This window comes from Homo sapiens, chromosome 4 (assembly GCF_000001405.40).
Source record: "Homo sapiens chromosome 4, GRCh38.p14 Primary Assembly".
Lineage (NCBI taxonomy): Eukaryota > Metazoa > Chordata > Mammalia > Primates > Hominidae > Homo > Homo sapiens.
The window spans coordinates 185,068,881-185,090,702 of NC_000004.12; the positions used below are offsets into that span (position 1 = coordinate 185,068,881).

General features: G+C 38.0%; 2 long non-coding RNA genes across 12 annotated transcripts in view; one reads left to right on the forward strand and one right to left on the reverse strand.

The window, feature by feature from the left end:
- The window catches only part of LINC02436 (long intergenic non-protein coding RNA 2436), a 55,372-nt gene that overhangs the window by 17,004 nt on the left and 16,546 nt on the right, over positions 1–21,822 (forward strand). For 3 of the 10 annotated variants that reach the window (NR_174107.1, NR_174106.1, NR_174105.1), the window contains 5 exons: positions 1,050–1,150; positions 2,688–2,840; positions 3,107–3,193; positions 16,904–17,113; positions 18,665–18,818. This is a non-coding gene — a long non-coding RNA (long intergenic non-protein coding RNA 2436). Of the gene's footprint in view, positions 1–1,049; positions 1,170–2,687; positions 3,194–16,903; positions 17,114–17,397; positions 17,847–18,664; positions 18,819–21,822 lie in introns of those variants that run through there. The other 7 variants (NR_174108.1, NR_174103.1, NR_174109.1 and 4 more) reach the window with 5 other exon arrangements.
- Positions 6,259–17,326, reverse strand: LOC105377588 (uncharacterized). 2 transcript variants are annotated; one of them, XR_939565.3, is made up of 5 exons: positions 17,222–17,326; positions 14,375–14,546; positions 12,128–12,301; positions 9,123–10,293; positions 6,259–6,821 (listed from the first exon to the last, which is right to left on the reverse strand). It is a non-coding gene; the product is annotated as an uncharacterized LOC105377588 (long non-coding RNA). The 2 variants fall into 2 exon arrangements; XR_002959837.1 differs by lacking the exons at positions 12,128–12,301; positions 14,375–14,546.

Consider the following 21,822-nt stretch of genomic DNA (forward strand, 5'->3'; position numbering starts at 1 on the left):
GTGGGTCAGCTTTATTATTGACAGAACTCTTGGATAATATGGCATGATTGTATGGTAACAATGATCTTCTGAATATTGTGCCCCAAATTTATCGCCTAGTCACAGTGCTAAAAACTGCAGCTCTCCCCCCAGAGGCAGGCTCCTGTAAAACTTTTGAGCCAGAAAGGCAGTCCAGAACGCAAGCGCCCTGTTGGCAGTGGCTCCCAGTGCAGAGAAAGGGGCTGGGCTATGCTCTCCCACAGTGCAAATCAGAAATGTCACTCTTCTACTCCTGGGAGGAAAAAATAAGGAGAGAGAAGAGAGAAGCCAAGAATGTTATGCTAGTGGGGCTCCCCTAACAAGGAAAAGAACATCAGGAATGGATAATACGAGCTAGGCACGATGGCTCACGCCTGTAATCCCAGCACTTTGGGAGAACGAGGTAGGGGGATCACTTGAGGTCAGGAGTTTGAGACCAGCCTGGCCAACGTGGTGAAACCCCATCTCTACTAGAAATACAAAAATTAGCTGGGCATGGTGGCGGGTGCCTTTAGTCCCAGCTACTCAAGAGGTTGTAGCAGGAGAATCACTTGAGCCCGGGAGGCAGAGGTTGCAGTGAGCCAAGATCATACCACTGCACTCCAGCCTGGGTGACAGAGTGAGACTCCACATCAAAAAAAAAAAAAAAAAAAAAAAAGAATGGCTAATCAGTATTATCCCATATGGCACTGAGCAGCAAGTTTGTTGTGTTACCTAAAATTACATATTTTAGCAGGGTACCAATTTTATGAAATTTTCCTATCACTAAAAAAACCTGTATAATTTGTGAACCTCTTTGTAAGAGTGAATACATGATACATTGAGGTATTATTTACACTCACAGAAATTGGTATCACATTTTAATATGCTAACATTCCCATATGTTAATGCCTGCTTGGACCACTGTTCACCTTTCTTCTCCTCGTTCATTCTTGCCTTCACCTGCAAGTGCTATGCCGACATGTTAAATAATTTTCTAAAAAATCTCAGATACTTGTCATCTATATTAGGAATAATGTGTCTTCTTAAAGTAACTCCAGGTTGAAGAACTTCTACTTATAGGCATCTATTCAACGAAGACGAATCCTGGAATGGGGATGGAAATGATGGCTCATGTCTTAGCAAACTACCAGTACGTCTACTAGAACCGGGTACTTCTTTCACCAATATGAGCACAGTCAGAACGAGGTTGTTTTTCCTAGTGAAGAGCACAAGAGCACATTCTCCCAAGTTTTCTGTTCCTCAAATACTACATACAAGATTAAGCAGCATTACATGTAAACAATATCCCTTGAGCATATACATTCATGACATAAAGAGACACTAAATTAAAGTGTCTGATGAGTATTGTCAAGTCTTTCTTGCCAAATAGAATGATTTTGTTGAATAGATACTCTTGGCCTAGAAATGTGTTAAACTATTCCTGAGTTTTCCCAGCTGTCTCACACTGACAGTGTTTCAGGTAGCAAGACTTATGTAATTTCCGTCCCAATAAATATATCTTAAAAGGAAGTGATGTCAGTGACATTAAATTACAGCACAGCTTGGGTGTCAATGCCACAGGAAAGAGGAGAGATGGGAAAATAAAGTGTTATCACTGAGCAAGGTTTTAAAACGTAAAATTTCCCATGTACTTTAGACAAACATAAATCTTTGGGCAACCAGAAAGAACTTAAAACATTCTGATCCAAAGGCCATAGTCCAAATCTTTTTATAGATTCCTCAGGAAAATAACTTAGGATAGATAAAAGTTGTCAGTGCTTTTTGTAAACAATAAAGTTACAGTGATTTTTAAATGAAGCGATGAGATGAAAATAAAAGACTAAAACTCTTTAGAATAATGATTTATGAGTAAACCAAGGCAAAGCTTCATTTCAATTTGGAATAAAAGTGATTATGAAGCTAAAATTCAAGAAACTGAACTCTAGGTTTCATATTACTTTTTAACATTTTCCTCTGCCAAATAAATAAAGGTCATTTCTTCCCTCTTCCCTTTCCTTTCCCCTTTTGAGGGGTGATCTTTATGAAATGAAATGTCCTCTAAAGCTTACATCCATTCTTTCCCGTCCTTTAACACAAAGAGTTTTACCAAATGTGGTTCACTCCGTTATTTTCTTCTGCCCAATCCCAATACCTGGGTGTGTTTGCTTAGATTTCAAGCTACTGCTAAATTTTTCAATTTCTGTCAGTGCTCCCACCCACTGGAAGTAGAAGTTTCTTAGCAGCAAAAATATTAATTAAATGAAGCAAAACCCCACTGTTTACTAACTGCATATATGATTTCCTACCCAAGTACAAATTTCAGAGTTAAGTGTCTTCACCAAATAAACTGAGAAACCCTAGACAGTGGGAAGACACAAGCATGCCTCATGTTGCCAAAGAAAATAAGAAAGACCTGACAAACTACTGGCTAAGCATTAGACAGACACATAGATAGAATCAATGTGCTTTTTCTCATGCAAAGAAAAAAATTAGATGCAAACTTTACATTTAAAACTGCATTGTTCCCCTTTAATCTGGCCACCATCCGAGTGGTGATCTGGATGTTAGAGAAGAGATGAATGGGAGACATTGGCAGGGATTGAAGCTTGGGGATGAATGTGGAAATGTAGAATGGATGTTTCTTTTTTTTGGCTTTGAGTTGACTGTTGTTTCTGTCTGTTTTTTAGAACTGATCCGAGAGGACAGGGAAGTCAGTGTGGGCGGCTCTAAGGAGCCTCCCTCTCTACAGCTGCGGCTCAGAGGATTACGGCGCTTCATCCACAAGGCAACATTGCACAAGTAGCTTTTGAACAAAAGTCATGGATACTATTAATGATATGGTAATCCTTAATCGAGCTACCTCCCAGTAGTGATTATACTGACATGGGAAGAATATCTAAGTCGTGGAGGCAGCCCACAACAACACTGTGTCATTGTTCACCCCGGGCTCGACCAGGACTAACTTTTACCAGCATCTCTAACGTCACCTTTCCCCTGATGCCTCCCCACAACCCCTGGCCCCAGCTCCCATTCCCGCCCCATCATAGCAAAAAAGTAGCAAAGAAAACCCTGATCCTAAATCTTTTTCTGGATTTTTTTTTGCAAGTTCCCACACACATTTAGTGTCGTCTCAAAATTCACGCTGTCAACTGTCTCTAGGAATCATTTCCATCTGAGAACAGACCACACAAAGGTTAGTTCGGTGGGTCTCAGTGAAGATGTTTTAATTGTCTGACAATAGATTCTTCCATCATTTGACTTGCAAATACTGTCCTCTTGCTCTCAGATAACATGTTCAGAATTAGACCATTTGTCAATAAATTTCCCAAAACTCCTTAATTATGATACTGAAATACAAGTGGTTTGCCATTTGACAAGACTCAATTACAATCCAGCAGGGAAAATCTTATGGCTCACTAAACTGTGGGACTCCCCGAAAGGCCAAACTTAATTTACTCATAGATGAGTCCCCTTAACATAAGGAAAGTGACCTTCATAAAGACAGAATATATCTATGATTTTTATGTAATTATATGTGTGGGATAAACATGTTCAAATGACTTGTGGTAAATGTACTAATGAAGCTAAAGAAACTATACCCTAACTACCACCCTGACCTAATTATTCTTTTTCCATAGCTCATTAATATTTTTAAATGATGCCATTTCTCTGCCATTCAAAACAAATCTAAACAAAACCAATAACTGATATAATTTTATGGATACCCTCCCATATTCATGAGACCACATAGATGATCTTTCTAAACCCTATAATACGCCATGCCAACACACAGTGAAATTGGGATGTGAAAAAAGTCTGCTTTTTCTAACAAATATCTCTGGAGGAGATCATTGTTCTAAATCAGCTTTTCATTATTCTTTGCTAAGAAAAAAAAACTGTTGGAAAATACACATATTTTTAGCAGAACTGCCATCTTTAACCAATGTGAGATGTATACATTTTATCCAATATATGACTATAAAGAACAAACAAAAAATTGTCTACATATAACATTATTAGAGGCCACAGCCATAAATAGGTTCATATTGAGCACTATGATAATTTATAAAATACTTTAGAGCCACAAAACTAATGTACTGACTTCTATGTTAAAATTAATAATTAATTGATTTTGTTTGAAGGCTGGATTTGGGCAAAATGATAAGGGCAGAAACTTTCCCTCTTCATTTTAGATACACTTTATATTTGGATATTTATGATAACCCATTATTGCTTTTCCAACTTAAAAGTAAGAGTAAGTGACAAAAACACATGAAGTGCTTGAAACGTCTGAATATCTTATCGTCTCTAAGTGGTTTTGTTTTCTGAATTTATTCATATGAAAGTGCCACTGTGGCAATTTCACAGTCCCAGCAAAGTACAGAGTAAAAGTTTTGAGATTCTGGTTTATGTAAAAATTGGCTACACAAATCAATACATCATGTCAAATAAAAGCATAGAAGCTTTAACCTCATCTCATTTATCTACATACATCTTCCACTGCCGAGGGGAAGCCCAGCTGATCATCACCTCACCTAAAAATTATTAAGCATAATTTTCTTTTTTTTTCTTTTTTTTTTTTTTTTTTTTTGACGGAGTCTCACTCTGTCTCCCAGGCTGGAGTGCAGTGGCGCCATCTCAGCTCACTGCAAGCTCCGCCTCCCGGGTTCACGCCGTTCTGCTGCCCTCAGCCTCCGGAGTAGCTGGAACTACAGGTGTGCGCCACCACGCCCGGCTAATTTTTTATATTTTTAGCATAATTTTCATAACCTGGAACGTATAATGAGAAAAGTATTGGCCTTAGAGCCAAGCAAGCCAGGCCTCGCCACAGAAATGTTTTGTCCTGGCCAAGCGCAGTGGCTCACGCTGTAATCCCAGCACTTTCGGAGGCCGAGGCAGGCAATCACCTGAGGTCAGCAGTTTGAGACCAGCCTGGCTAATACAAAAATTAGCCAGGCATGGTGGTGCGCGCCTGTAGTTCCAGTTACTCGGGAGGCTGAGGCAGGAGAATCACTTGAACCCAGGAGGCAGAGGTTGCAGTGAGCCGGGATCATGCCACTGCACTCCAGCCTGGGGAACAGAGCGAGACTCTGTCTCAAAAAAATAAAATAAAATAAAGAAATATTTCGTTCTGGATTCAATGTCTGTAGTTCAAAGATACACATCTATTTGCTTAAAGAAAGTAATAAATACTTAAAATTCATATTTAATCTAGATGAGCTATTTTATTATAATATTCTGGCTTTGGTGGATAATTGTCTAGCCTCCTGCAAACATTGGGCAAAATGATTCATAATCGACTTTCTTCAATTTACTAAACTTGTGAGGAAAATTCAAGTTTTCTATCACATTGTATAGACAGAGAAACTAAGGCACAGAGACCTTAGGAACTGATTTAGTTGGGATAAAAGACTGAATCAATTTCTTTCTTCCATCATGCTGCCTACTCTAATTTAAAAGATTTGCTGTCGAATTCAGGGCTGGCCCATAGGAATACACTGCAAACTACATTCGTAATTTTAAATTTGCTAACAGCACACTAAAAAAGATGCTTTTAAGTGGAATTAATTTTAATGACATATTTTATGTGGCCCAATATATCTAAAATATAATCACTTCAATATGTAATCAATATAAAAATCATTGAGAGGTTTTAATATATTTTTAATACCAAGTCTAAATTGAATTCAGACTTAAAAAAAAATAAGTAACCAGAAAACATGTGAGTTTCCTGTAAAATCTAAACCTTGCATTGCAAGCCACATTTCAAGTGTAACCTTACTTGTTGGCACAGTAATGGCTAGCAGAGGCACAATTGCTTGTCCTGACTGTCCAGAAGGCAAGGTGGTATTGAGTATGTGGGCTCTGGGCAGGTGCAGTCTGGGTTTGCACCCTGTCTCCGCCACTGCTAATTGGAGGACAATGGGCAAGTTACTTTCTGTGTCCCAGCTTTCTCATATGTGAAGCAGGGCTGTTGTAAGAATGAAATGAGTTAGTATTTAGTGCCTGACAAGTAGTAGGCATTAAATGTTAGCTATTGGTACTGCTATTGTCAGAGAATGCACAAGAGTACACAAGAGCTAATTATTATTTGTACCCTCCCCCCAGTGAAATTTGTAAGAAACTAGACATGCTAGGTCTATATAACAGGGTTTGTCATGTGTTAAATTGTGTCCCCAAATGACATGTCACAATCCTTATCCCCTGCACCTCAGAATATGCCTTCATTTGAAAATAGGGTAGTTGGAGATGTTACTAGTTAAGACAAGTCATACTGCAGTAAGTTGAGCCCTCAATCGGAGAAGACTGGTGTCTTTATGAGAGCAAGGAAATTTGGACACAGAGACAGAGACACGCAGTGTGCCATATGACAGCAGAGGCAAAGATGAGAGTGGAACAGCCGCAGAACAAGGCTCACAGGGATTACCAGTCACCCTGAGAAGCAAGGAAAGGGGAGGGAAGGATTCTTCGGAGCTCAGAGGGAGCGTGCCCCAGCTCACACCTTGATCTTGAACTTCCAGCCTCTGGAACTCTGAGAGAATACATTCCTGTCATTTTAAGCCACCCAGTTTGTGGTGCTTCATGATGGCAGCCCTAGGAAAGTAATACAGAGTTCTTCACCCAAAAGGAAGCACTCTGTCTCACCAACAGCCAAGGTCCTGGATGACTGACAACCTGAGATTGCAGACCTCCGAGAAATTGAAGTAGGCTCTATAAAGTCTGGGCAGCCCCGTCTTCCAAAGGCTGCTTCTCAAGTCCACACACACACTTTGGAAGGAGAATCCTGCTCTTGGACGTGGTATTCTTGGTGGGACAGCTACCTATAAAATGAATGAGGTAAGTCACAAACCCAGAGAAATAATTCCATTGGTTTCTTGGTGATTAAACTAATGCGAGCATGTCACAAAGTCTACCATTTGTTCTTAATGGACTTTATCATTTTTTGCCACAGTTTTTTCAAACATCTTATTATGGTCAAAAGATTAATTTTCGTTCAGTTTTTTATTTGTTTCTTTGTTTTAGAGACGGGGTCTCACTTGGTCACTCCAGCCAGAGTGCAGTAGCACCGTCATAGCTCACTGCAGCCTCAAACTGCTGGGCTCAAGTGATCCTCCTGCCTCAGCCTCCTGAGTTTAATTCAGATTTTTAAAAAGTTTTGGTATTTATGTGTATCCTTAAAAACTGGGGGACTAAAGGTGGGACTCACAAAGAAGTAAAATAAAAATAGTCTAAAGTGATATGTATTTTTATATTGTTAATACTCCTGGAACTGTTAACCATTCTATATACTGTTTTCTATAGTTCTTCATTCTCAATTTGACACTTATGTTTCTTTTCCATTTCCATTTATATATATATATATATATATATATATATATATATATATATATATATATGAAATGAAGTTCTCAATCATATATGCAGATTCTGTGACAAAATTACAAAAAAATTCTCTAAAAGAAACATTTATTTTCACAATTCAGGAATGCTTGACTGTAAACACAAGTACTCATAAATGTTTATTGTATTGATTTTAATTTGATGATTATAAAATAGACTCTAAAAATGAATTTATTACTTTAATGTTATGGCTTGTTAATTCTTCTTATTTACCAGGAAAACACATGCTTCTGTTACAGTATCTTCTTAGGTCATACTAAGTGGCTGCCTCAAATCTTCATTAATATTTATAAGAATATAAACTACTTCAAGCAGAACTTTTCACTTAGAGAGAACCTTGGAGATCTTTTGAGCTGAACTTTTCATTTTACAGATGAGAAAACTGGAGCAAGGGGATATTAAAGATTTGACGAAGGGCATGTCATTATTAAATGAGAAGCCAAGCTGTAACTCTTGTCATCCAAGTCTCCTAACACCCAGTTCAGGGGCCTTTACACCATACCACCAGGCAATAAATGCCATCCTTCTATCTGGCAGATACGATGGACAGTTAGCAATCCATCAGTGAACTCAAGCAGAATTGAGGAAGATGGTATTTACCATTAAATTAAATAACACATGTCAAGCCCTTAGCAGGACATGGGGCACATAATAAACGCTTGTTAAAGGGAACAATTATTTTTGTTGTTGTATGATTCAGAAATGCAATGTGAAATAGTGGAAACCCTTGTAGATTTTCAAATCAGATGGACCTAGGTTTAGCTGGCAGTGTACACTCACTGACTTATGTAACCTGCGCAACTCACTTAATCTTTCTATGTATCTGTTTTCTCACAGGCAAAAAAGGAATAATAATGAGATTGGGTATGTAAAATATCGATAAGTAGAGGCATTTGTTAATGTTAACAATGAAATTACAATCTGTCATTTTATGTGTTGAGTAAATAATATAAAGAATTCAAAGAGATGTGACCTGTCATTAACATTTATCTACCTGAAATTGAGGGGAATAGGCCAGGCTCATGTCACCTCTATGGTTAGTGCCCCGACCTCTCTCTTTCCACCCTGCCCCTTTCCTTTGGCACTGACACTTGGACCTCAGTGCCTCTACCCTGCTGCCTTCTGGAAGTTCAGGACACTCCCTTCATAACAACTTGCTTGTACTTCTCTTTGCCTACAGACCTCATATTTAAACAAACAAACAGGCCAAGTGCAGTGGCTCTTGCCTGTAATCCCAGCACTTTAGGAGGCCGAGGTGGGCAGATCACCTGAGGTCAGGAGTTCAAGACCAGACTGTGCAACACGGGGATACCCCGTCTCTACTAAAAATACAAAAAACTTAGCTGGGCGTCGTGGTGCATGCCTGTAATCCCAGCTACTCAGGAGGCTGAGGCAGGAGAATCGCTTGAACCTGAGAGGCAGAGGATGCAGTGAGCCGAGATCGTGCCACTGCACTCCAGCCTAGGGGACAGAGCAAGACTCTGTCTCAAAAAACAAACAAACAAAACCAAAGAAACAACCCCCGCCCCCCGCTTCATTTCATTCTCTCAGACACCTGATCTTCACCTCCTAAAATAAAGGCTAACACTTAGCTGAATAACTTATTCAACTAAGTTAGCATTCCCATGTTCTGTGGAATGCTAGCCTCTAAGATGCTCCATGAAAGAAGGTCAAATAAGCTTGGGAAATTATGGAATAATTGCACGGTAGGAGATGCCCACCTTTAGGTAAGGCCTACTGGTACCTCCTCAGCACTCCTGGTTCTCTTTCACTTCGAGGGCTTCCTACTGCCAGCACCTGCGACTCTGTCTGAGGGCATTCTCTGACTTGTAGCATGCTCTTACAATGCCCTTCAAGCCAAACCAGGTTGGTAACTTCCACCCTGCTATCAAGAACTAACAGAAAACATGGGTGGGTTTCATGGCTAAAGAGATAATCATGAGATCTGGAGGATGGTCCAGGAGGCATATGGGATGAAGATAGTTATATTCCGAAACTGCCATGGAAAAAAAAGTATCTTTAGGAAGAAGCAGCCCATCTTTCAGTGGCTTCAGCCCAAATCATCAGATGCCTGGGACTGCAACATGCCTTAAAGTACTCGAGGAATGAAATGGTCAATACTGATCAGAATTTTAAATACTTAAGCCTTGATCTACCCTATAAAATCCATGAAAAGATTTTAGAAAAGAGTAAAAACTTGGGTTCCCTGATAGAGAAATACAGATTGAGAGTATTTCAGAAGGCATTCTTGCTCTGCCTTTAACACAACCATTGGCAATAGGTGTGTATTGTACTGTCCAGGCAGAATCCTCTGGGAAGAAAGTAGAAAGATGTCTTGTAAATGGGAGTCCCTTGGGAGGCAAGTGAGGGGTAAAAGTCAGTGTGTGTGGGAGTGTTTAGTGCAATTGGGGACTAAACACCAGTCATCTCCAGGACTTGAATTTTGCCACTTAACTGCAATTTTCTTCCCAACTCTGCAAACACAGTTTACATGCCTCGTTTGTCACCTCAGTCACACATTACCCTCCCATGTCCACTATTCAGGTTCCGAGACATTAACTAGTTTCAAATGCATTGCCATAGTTCATCGTTTAAAAATTCTACCTTTTTGTTAACAATGTTTTTTCAAAAATCCTTTGTCACTTATAAAATATTAATAAGTGAGATACCAGCCAATAAAGAGAAAATTTAAATAATCCTAGCACTTTGAGGGGTACATTCTCTGTACTAAAAGCAAGAATAAAAAATGTACGAAGAAATGAGAAAATGTGGAAAAGAAGTGCTAAGAATCCAACGTGGCATGAATCGGGGGTCTCTGACATTTCCATCTTCATCAAGGGGATTCTGTCAAGTAGTAAGTCAAGCTCTTCATCAGTAATCTCCACACCAAACCTGAAACAAATAGCAGTTAGCATCAGTCACCTCCCAAGTTCACATTTGGGTCACCCATGCCCACAATACCCTAAGCATATGGCTGCCATTAAAGCTTTGTGACTGCTGCAGTCCTCAAGATCAAGAGCACCACGTGAATATCAGAGGTTAATCAGGGTTTTGATCGCTTCAGCTTTCTCAGAGAAAGATTCTACCACAGAATCCCTGCATTGGTGGAGCACAGAAATAGAAACACCGGCATGTTGAATTGTGTGTGATTGTCCTCTATAAAAAGTTATTCATTACACTAAAACACTGGTATTGCTTAAACAAGTTAACTCTGAAAAGCCTTTCAATTGGGCTGCTTAGCATGAAAGAAAAGGTAGAGAAAAAAATGCCTTTCGAAAAACAGCTTCCTAATACTCTTGCAAAGCATTTCATAATGGCTTTAAAGACATTTTGCATACAAATATTTTTAAAGTGGCAGTGTTTATTCATCAGCAAGAAAGTGTTTTCATCTCTCAAGAACAATCAAAACATAATCCGTGAATCACTGGCATAAATAAGAATGACTTAAGCAATAATAATGAACAAGGCGTTCATTCATCATTTTGCAAAGCTGATAAAACCCAGCTGACTTTTGGAAAAGAGGGGAATATATTTTCTTTTGACAACACAATGACAGAATAACATCAAAAAGTCTCTTTATCCATTTTCATTATTACTTCCTTAATAATTATAAAAAGGAAAAATATTTATATGATCTTCAGAGAAACCAGAGTATACTTTCTTAGTAATTATAAAACAACATATACACACCATCAACAACAATGCAACAAACAAAAATGGCTTTTTTTCCTAAGCTGCAAATAATTAAGTTATCATGTATTTGTATTTCAGAAGTACTTGAATTTAAATAGCATCTCAGGGACTTTGCAGTTGGGTATCCTTTTTTTCATTTGTATAAAATTAGAAAAAAAGGGTAATTTAATGTTATACCTGCACAGTGTTTATCTTACTCCCTTTTATTCTCTTTATCATTTCTTCACAATGAAGTTACCTGGACTAATGGAGAAATCCTTGGTATTTAGCATCAGAAATGAAAATTAATTCTCAGGTTTGATTTGGATTTAAACTCTTAAACTCAGTACTTTAAAAGGAAACAAACATTCTGTATAGGCATATTGGGGGAAAAAAGATGAAAAGTCAAGAAATCCGAATCTAGTTTATATCCACCATTCTACAGCTATGCAATCATGGAAAATCACTTAACTTTTACATTTCAGTTATAAAAGTGGTCTCAGTGGTCTGTGAGTGTTCTGTATCTTACTGAGTGGTTATGTGATAGTGAGATAATGATAACAAAAGTGCCTGGAAAAACATCACATAAATATTGTGTATTACTATTTTTGATGTCGAAAACAGGTTAAAAAAGGCCTCCCAAACATAATAGAAAAGACTGTTCAAACCTAACAGTAACACAAGCCCTTTTTCTCAAGAGCCCGTCTTGGTGAGTGGCATATGGTTTAGTGGAGATAGCATGGCCTTCGGGTTAACTGGACCAACGTTTGAATCCCAGCTCTGTCATTTAGTAGCTGTGTGTGGCCTTGGGCAATTTCCTTAATTCCCTGAGCCTCAATTTTCATTTGTATAACAAGAAAGGCTATTTTGAAAATCAATTAAGTAAATAAATATGCACATATTCTCTTTAATGTAAAATGTATTTTCTTAACAGTGAAACTACCTTCACTGTATTGGATAAAATGAGGCTTTCCCTAACCACCAAAATTAGTCTCCCACCTCAGTGTCCAATCTCTATCTTATCACACTGCTATTATTATCTTATCTCTCTTACCACTATCTGAAATTATTTTATTGGTTTACTGACTACTTGGTTATTGTCTGTCTTTTGTCTCCACTTCTCGTGTAAACTCCATGAAAACAGGTTTAGTGCAACTAGGGACTAAACACCAGTCATCTCCAGGACTTGACTTCATCATTTGCCTGTTCACCATTGTATCCCTAGAATCTGTAACAACAACCAGAAGGTACTCAATAAATATTTAATCAATGAACAAATGACTAACTCATTTCTACTGTAAGGGTATATGTACTTGAGAGAAGTTAAGTATATGTACTTGAGAGAAGAGGAATTTTTATTATGTGAAATAAGGCATATGTTAATTATCTTGATTAAGCCATTACACAATGTATACATATTTCAAAACATGTTGTATATGATAAATATATACAATTTTATGTCAACTTAAAAAAGAATAAAGAAATAATAATAACATCAAAAGGAGCTTTTATGTATTTATTTGTATATATTCCTGGGGTACAAGTGCAATTTTGCTACGTGGATATATTGCATTGTGGTGACGTCGGGGCCTTCAGTGCATCACTGGAACAACACACACTGTACCCACCAAGTAACCCCCCATCCTCCACCCTGCCTCCCACCCCCTCAGCCCCCACCCTCTGAGTCTCCACTGTCCATCATTCCACATGCTACATCCATGTGTACACATTTTTTTAGCTCCCACTTATTAGTGAAAACGTGTGGTATTTGTCTTTCTGTGTCTGAGTTGTTTCACTTAAGCTAATGGCCTCCAGGTTCATTCAGGTTGCTGCAAAAGACATGATTTCATTCTTTTTTTTAAGGCTGAATAATATTCCATTGTGTATATATACCATATTTTCTTTATCTAATCCTCTGTTGATGGACACTTAGGTTGATTTCATATCTTTATTATTGTGAATAGTGCTGCAATAAATATACCAGTAGAGAATGTGTGCTTTGAAGAGATTGAAAAAGGTTTGAAATAAGCACAGTAGAGAATGGAATACAGAGTTGACTAATAAAACATAGTGGGGATTGACAGGAAATACTAGGAATCCAGGTGAAGTTGGTGACAATGAATTTACAGTAATGTAAGTCTACTCAGTAGCATGATTTTCCCCAGCACCACTAAGCAGCCTGGGTGCAGGTGAAGACAAGATGAGCAGTTGCGCACATCTAGGTTTGAGAATTTGTCAGATAGATGTGAATAAAAGACAACAAAGCAAGGGAGTGTAGAATACTGACCAAAAAATGACTCATGGAAAAATAGAATCTAAACTGTGCTCCAGCTTAGAGAGGGAAGAGAGAACATGTGTGCAGGGATAGAACTGGGAAACAGCAGGAAGATCAGTGGACTAGAACAGATAGGAGATAATAGTCAGGAATGGCTCAATTCATGATTTCTTAGGTGTAGTTATTTTGGATATCACAGTTCATCTCAGACTTCCAAGAGAGTTTACATTCTTAGTATCCCCCAAAGACCTCCTTCACTTAGAAGGTGAATATAATAGCAAAAACTAAAATTTACTGAGAATTTCATATGTTCTTAGCACTATGCCAAGCATTTTACATGCATTGTCCCCATTTAACCCTACCAGTATCAATTATTATCATTCCTAACACTGTCCTAATAGTGTCACTGAGATCTCTGAGGTGACTGCGGGTGAAGAAAGTTAAAGGGAAATAGTCTGGAAATGGCACTAAAGAGCGAGGCAAATGAACAGCTTCCTCCTGAAAAAGGAAGTAATGTCCTGGGCAAAAAGCCAGTTTGTGATTAAACTGCATTTAGAAGGGTGGAGGATGGAGAAGAGTTTGTGCATCATGGGTTGGGCATTCTGGAGGGCACAGTTGGAGGATTTTACAAGGGGAAGCATCAGAGTTTGGAAGAGTGAACAAGAAACCCAGATGAACATTAGGGTAAGAGAATGCTGAAAGTGTATATAGGCTAGACAACTGGGGGGCGGAGGTTACATTACAGGTAGTATAACAAGGAAAATTAGTATGAGGCCAGATGGATTAAGATTCTAAAAGAAACCTCAAACATAATCATCTAGGCCATACTTTTAGCTCATTACTCACTGTCTCTCTAGGTATAGGTAGTTTAAGTTTTCAGCTGTAATGATAATAGCAAACATTTATTGACTGCCTACTACATGTCAGATACATTACCTGTATTTATATAATCCTTACAACAACACTATGAGGTGAATGTACTATATATTATCTCCGTTGTACAGTGAAACCTTATATAGTTATTACCTGGTAAAGCTTGAATTTGAACCTTGCCAACTGTCTCTGGAGCTCTCCAGATGACCATTTTATTATTCTCACTGCTCAAGCAGGGCTGCCATTTCTCTTCCTACAGTTCTCTTTACCATGTTGCACACTTTCTCTAGCAGAAAAAGGTCTCTCCACAATCCTTCCAGAGAAACTTAAATATTAATGTATAAGATTATGATGAAGTCAATACACTTAAAGCTAACCTTTAACACTATACTCTGTAAGTGGATTTTGAAATAAGGATAGTTCATCTCAGACTTTATCCAAGAGAGCTTACATTCTTAAGTATCCCAAAGACCTCCTTCACTTAGAAGGTCTTCTTAAGGCCTATATCTCAAAGACAGTATTGTAGGACAGATCCAGTGTGTTTAAGAAATTATCTGTCACACAATAAATTTTTTCTGCCCTCAGAGAGGAAACTAGCTTCTGATATTTCTCCCTAAGGACAAAAAAAATAAGTTACTGTCAGGCTTACTTTAAATTCCATAACAGAAAATATATGGGGTTTTTAAAATTAGTTCCATACATTTTTCTGTCTGTATATAGCAAATAAACAAGCAAAGTAGCTTTCATAGATATAAAATAAGTAGTAGGAATCCCATTATAGAAATCCCCCTTTTCTGTTATTTAAGTCTCAAAATATCAAAGCATAGTATTTGTGTATAGAATCCAAGAAGAAATAAAAAATAAATCATCTGGAAAAAAAAACCCACAGTTGGATTCTTTCTATCTTAATACTGATTTAGCAATCACACTTTGATTTTAGTAGGTGAAATTTCCAAGGAATCTAAAAGTCTAAAAGACTTAAGTAGAAAAGATGGGGCCTTACATGTAATAAAGCTCCTTTATTTACTCCTACAGGTAACTACAATGGAAAGGCTTACAATTGAAGTGCTTATGTATTAATGACTTTAGACCTCTTCACTAAAGACTTTGTAATTTTTACTAAATGACATATTCTTCAAAAACAAAAAATCTATATTGGCTAAATATATTTTTCTAATTATGTGTTTTAGAAATAATATTATGTCTACTGATATAAATCTGGGTTTGTTTCATTGCATTTTAGCATTGGTTCTTCAACCAAATCCCTAAACAGAATCATCTATTTTCCTCAGAAATCTGTGTTTAATTGGATACTTAAATTATTTTAGTATGCAATTAAATCATGTGTAATATTCAAAAAGTATTTCAGGATGATATTCTTATCCTCTTTTTAAAAAGTACAATGTTTAGAGCTTGTTTTTAAAGACTTTAATTTCTTACATCGACATCTTTTCCAGTAGATTACTTTATCTTTAAAATACAGAGCAGGATATATAGTGCAGGAAAAACAGTATTTTTCATCACTTCTGTTCTCTTTATTACTGTCAAAATCTTTAATACTATATTCCCTCAGAAAATATCTGGGTATTATTATAAAATAAGTTCTCAAGCTCTGGTAAAAATATCCTTAGCCTATACTTCAAAATGGAGAAATAATCCAGCCTTTAACTGATTTTCCAGGAATTTACTTTTCTAACATTAGACGTTAAAAGCACATTAAAAACAAACAAACAACAACAACAACAAAAACCTCTGATCAAACACAGGGTGATGATAAAAAACATTAATCCTGATCATATATGCCAGATCTCTTGGTATATGACATACTCATTACCCATCCTGAGTAATACATCTTGTCTTTTCTCCATCTTGTACTCCAAAGTCAGATCCATGGGCTTGAAAGGCTCCAGAAGGGCCAGGTGGGGCTGGGCCTGAGATATGAGAATTGCTAGTGTGATCCTGGTATTATGAACCACAAGTGGCCCACTGTCATCCCAAATCCCCAGAGGACCTCCCAACTGAGAGGTCTCTCTTTTGAACCATATCAGCTTGAGATCTCCCTTTCTCTTTTGCTCTCTTTCTCCTTCTTTCCCTACAACTGCCTTTCCTATATGGCACACTTATATTGTATCTCTCTCTTTCTCTCTCACTTTATATATAATATCTCTGTATCTACAGTATCTATCTCTCTATACATGGATGTGTTTTTTTTTATCAGACTATCCTCAAAGAAAAGGATATTTGTCATCATAGAACAGTCATTTATTTATATTAACCAAAATAAACATAAGTGAAGGGCTTTGAATAATAATTTCAATGACTTTTTTTAAAAAGAATTTCTTAACATGAGTAATAAAGTGAGAAGTCCTGGGTTTGAGTCCTTAGTTCTGCTACTTACTCGATGTGAGGCTTTAGAAAGTCTCGTAAGCTCTCACAGATTGTTTCTTCATTTTTAAAATGTGCAGGATAATCACAATTAGGTTACCAATCAACAAGATTATTTCTAGATTCAAGCTTGTTAATGAACACATAGACTACTCTATAAATTCTAAATTCTTAATGTCACACATTCATAGTATCAACAATACAATTGGGTAAAGTTTGCATTCACTTCGACGCTGCGACTGAAAAAGGTGAATGGTTCGTTTCCTCACACTCCCTTTGCATTCCTTGTTCCTCCAGACACAGTGAAACTCAGTTTCTGCAGAATTTGATTTCATTTGAGTTACTGGGGAACAAAGCAATTAGACAATGAATAATAGCTCAAGACAGGCTGAAGCTGAAGATTTCTGCAAAAGAATGAAGAGGAAACGTTTTGATCCTGAGCAGATGTTCTCCCTAGATTGCTTCACCTGAGGTTGATTGACTTTTGGAAACGAGATTTGTTCCCAGGTGGGTAAGCCTTGGGGCCATAGGTTTTTCAGGATTTTGAAGGTCACATGGAATGCGAGGGGGTTAGGGAAATTTCCCAAGCATTTATGGGACCTGGGGGAATCTCACGTTGAAGAAGGTGGTTACCACACGCAAGCAAGCCCTTTTCCTGTTGCAGGCGGTGGACAGCTCCCGTCTGAGCATGCAAGTCTGCAGGGAGCTGCAGATGGCGGAGGGGCGCCCCGAGGCCTCCGGGAGAGCAGCTTGGGGAGCGGCAGCAGGGCACGCCGGGAAAGGCGCGAGGCACTCTGGGAAGGCAACCTAGGAAGGGTGGGGCCCTGGGGCCTTTTGAGGAGCTAAGTGGCCAAGGAGAGGTGCGTTTAGTTATCTCAGAAGTCCGTTGCCCTCGTGGTGTCCATTCTGTAACTGTTCTCACAAGACAAGACAGCCTGAGTTGTTTACAGCCAGCAACTCTTCCTGTCTGAGAGCGGTGTCTCCCGTTGGGTTTCCCTAGTGCCTCACCTTGGTCCAGATGGCCGAAGGGGACCGTTTCCTGTGGCCTCTTCGCACTGTTCTAGGTGTTAACGATCCCCCCCGCCCCGCCCCTACTGACTTCCTCATCCTAGCCTTTTACTTCTTTTCTGCCTGGCCTCTGATTTTACAATATACTATGGGGAGAAATGTCTCTGAAGTTTTACTTCAGCCTGAAATGTATAAGACAAGCCCTCAAGAGTTTCCAAAATCATAAATACGTGTAAGTTTCTCCATCTTAAGCAATTCATCTTACGGTTGCATTAATTTGGGACAGGGCCCCAGCTCTGTGTGAGTGGATTGTTGATGACATCCTAGTAAATAGAATTCTATCTGACCTGACTGACATATGCAAACAAACTGGAACATAGCTTCTATGTGATTTTGTACACAACAAAAGATTTACATTTTTTTTTTTTTTTTTGAGACGGAGTTTCGCTCTTGTTGTCCAGGCTGGAGTGCAATGGTGTGATCTCTGCTCAACGAAACCTCGGCCTCCCGGGTTCAAGCAATTCTCCTGCCTCAGCCTCCTGAGTAGCTGGGATTGCAGGCATGCGCCACCACGCCCGGCTAATTTTGTATTTTTAGTAGAGACGGGGTTTCACCGTGTTGGTCAGGCTGGTCTCGAACTCCCGACCTCAGGTGATCTGCCCGCCTCGGCCTCCCAAAATTCTGGGATTACAGGCATGGGCCACCGTGCTCGGCCTACACTTTTTTTCTTTTTGGTATGGCTGCGACTGAGATCTTACAATGCCCTGGATAGCTTATTGGTCTGATTCCATATAACAGCTTTTCCTAAATGATAAGTGGAAGAATGTCCAAACTCCCAGGTGAAATTGTCATTACTATATGTTTCACATGTAACCTAGTCTAGTTACTTCAAACGTTACAGCAGTTGGGCCCATCTATGCAGGTTGACTATTGCAGTCCAGTTAGACAGCTTCCAAATTCCGCTGTTCTCTAAAGACCTGATTTAAAATATGCTGTTCATGTATTTCAATACGTATTTGTAAAATTTTATTGCTCTCCCTTTCCTCTTAGTGCTTTGTGAGTCTCTTGTTGGAAGGACTGTCTTTAAATTAAAGCAATTAGAGTTACTTTATAAGATTTACCCAAATATAAGAGCTGAAGAGAATAATTCAAATTGATCAGAAGAAAATACTCAATTACTGACAAATGTCAATTACATCAATAGGTAAGTTATGGATTATATCTAATATTCAGTTTTAGAGCTAATAAAGTATAATACACTTCTGTAATTATCACCTTTTAAAAATTCACCACTCATGTCAATTTAAGACAAACATTCTTTAAATGAAATTAAAACTCTTACTTTGGGATCACCATTTCACAGATACAGACATCCGGGTATAGATTACTTCAATGTTAAGTTTTACTCCAAATTATAAAATTTTCTTTTTTTAACCTATGTATTATGTTTCTTCTTTGCAATATGATTTATTTCTATACTTATTATTGATTTCTTTCTAATACACAATGGAAACAATATAATTTTTATTTTTAAAAGTTTCAAATAGGCCGGGTGCAGTGGCTCACGCCTGTAATCCTAGCACTTTGGGAGGCCAAGGCAGGCAGATCATGAGGTCAGGAGCTCGAGACCAGCCTGGCCAACATAGTGAAACCCTGTCTCTACTAAAAATACAAAAATTAGTTGGGCATGGTGGCGTGTGCCTGTAGTTCCAGCTACTTGGGAGGCTGAGGCAGGAGAATCGCTTGAACCCAGGAGGTGAAAGTTGCACTGAGCTGAGATCACACCACTGCACCCCAGCCTGGGCAACAGAGTGAGACTCCATCAAAAAAAAGAAAAAAAAGTTTCAAATAACACAAAAATGTGTAATATAAAACATAATCACCTTCCACAATAATTTCTCCTCCTTCTCCCACCAGAAATAACTACCTTTGACTGCTTGATGCTTTGCCCTCCATATTCTTTTCTACACATATACTAACCTATATTATAATTTTTAGAATAAAATTATATCTTAAAAATTACTCTGCCATTTTTTTTTTTTAGTAAATCATTCTTAGATATCTGTGCCAATATTTGTATACTTAAATCCTTTTAAAAGCCTACATGATATTCTATTGTATGGATGTACCATAATGTATTTGACCCACTCCCTACTAATGTATATATAGGTTGTGCCTACTCTTTTGTTACATGAGCTTCTTGAAGTGTGTGTGTGTGTGTGTGTGTGTATTTCCTTTACATTGGACCTCCTACCCTCTGGCAAAAGAAAAAAATTGGTGTTTTCTAGACCCAGGGCCACTTTCTTGCTTATTCTTTTTCATTTCGTCTGTTTTCTGTTTTCCAACTTCTAAGTCTTGTCCTTTCTTTCGGAATCTCCTCTTTTCATTCTCCTATTTTTTTCCCATTAAGCACAAAGGTCCCCTTCACACAATATCTCTGCCCTCTGGTACCAATATGCTCTCCCAATACTCTCCAACCCCAGTGGTGAAGAGAAAGAAGGACATAGTATTCAGTTTTTGATAAGAAACAAGAGGCCACTGCTGGCAGGGAGGCTTGTCAAGATCTCCCTCATTCCGAGCACTCCATTCCCACGTGAACAACAATGAACGGAGATTTCACCCGCCCACCCCACATTGTTCAAGTTGTCCTTTGCCCTTTTCGTCAAAACTTGGCACCCAGGAGACAGCAGAACATGTTCTGAATTCAACCCTGGGGAGCCACCAATCAATATCACTTGACTCTTCTTACCCATTAGTTGTTCTCTTTCTATGCCTGATGTCGAGTGATGCCTAAGCTATTCTTTGTCATGGCCCCTTCTTAGTTGGCCCAGCTAACCCCTATAGGGTGGGATGGCTATCTACATCCCCTAGGCAGAGCACCATGGATAGAGGAGAAAAGCGTGGACAAAGTACTCAGGTGTAGGCTCAAGGGATGTGGACAATTTAGCATGTTTTACCTCTTTATGATCTCTTTATGCATTATCTCTTTATGATCTGAGTTGCCAAATACCAAGAATATTAACTACCTACTTAACTCACAAAATACTATAAGAATATGGTAATTTGTAAAGCACTTTGAAAATAGGATTCCAAAGGAACAAAGTATATTATTTATATGTCTTTTCTCCCTTTTTAGTATACATATTTTATGACTTCCTTTTTTTATATTTACAACTCATTTGTGAAGCACAGACAATATATTCATAATTATTTCTAATGAGAAACTATTTTGGGGGAGTTTTTTCAGGGAATATGTTCAGAGAGGGAGAAAGACATGGCTATTGTCATTTTTTTCACCCTAGTTTTTAAAAATATTGCTTAAATTTCTTTTATATCTGAAACATTTATTGGAATGTTTTTATGATTATTGAGGCCTTAATTATAAGCAGCAACAATCAAATAAGCATAAAAACTTTATAAGAAGTCTAAATTCCTGTCTGATAGTAAGAAAATTAGATACTTAGATATCAGTGTATTAAAGATTTGATGCTAAGTGCCAATTACCTTTAATAATCAAATAGTGGATTGTGGGAGGATCAGAGCAGATACGAACGTGACAAACTTCTCAGGATAAAGGTGTTTTAATGTTTTTCAGGCTTAAAAATAAGAAACATTTTGGAAGCTTAAAGGAGACAAAATTTCAGAAAACTGTGGATTTCACTTCCTGTTATAGTTTATGATAAAAGAAAAGGCTGTAAAATTCTCTTTTAACTGTCATTTCTTAAAAGACTTGAAAGTCTTTTAACTACCTTTTAAATATTATTTTGCAATTAAAAAAAAAAAGAGCATTGACCTTTGTATAAGGGTTCCTTTTTCCCTTGGTTGAAAACAGCCCATTTCTAAGCACATATAACTATCACTTTCTTTCTAATTTACTCCTTCCTTCCGCAATGCAGTTGAATACCATATTAATGCATTCGAAAACTAAATTATTGTTTTGGTGCTTGATTTTTAAAGGAGGAGGAAAACACAGATTTGTCTTTTTATTAATAAGTGCATAACTTCTAATAGGTTATGCACAGTCTTTTAATTCGTCTCAGTCTGACTAGTCAAGATCATCTGGATTTTCAAATGCAACAATTAACTGTAAAAAGGAAAATCCAAAGAGTCAGAATTCAGTGTAATTATACACTAGTGGACACTATATTGCTGATTAAAGCAGTTATAACTTAATGATCTCTGAGCATTTGATGTTTGCTGTGCAAGTG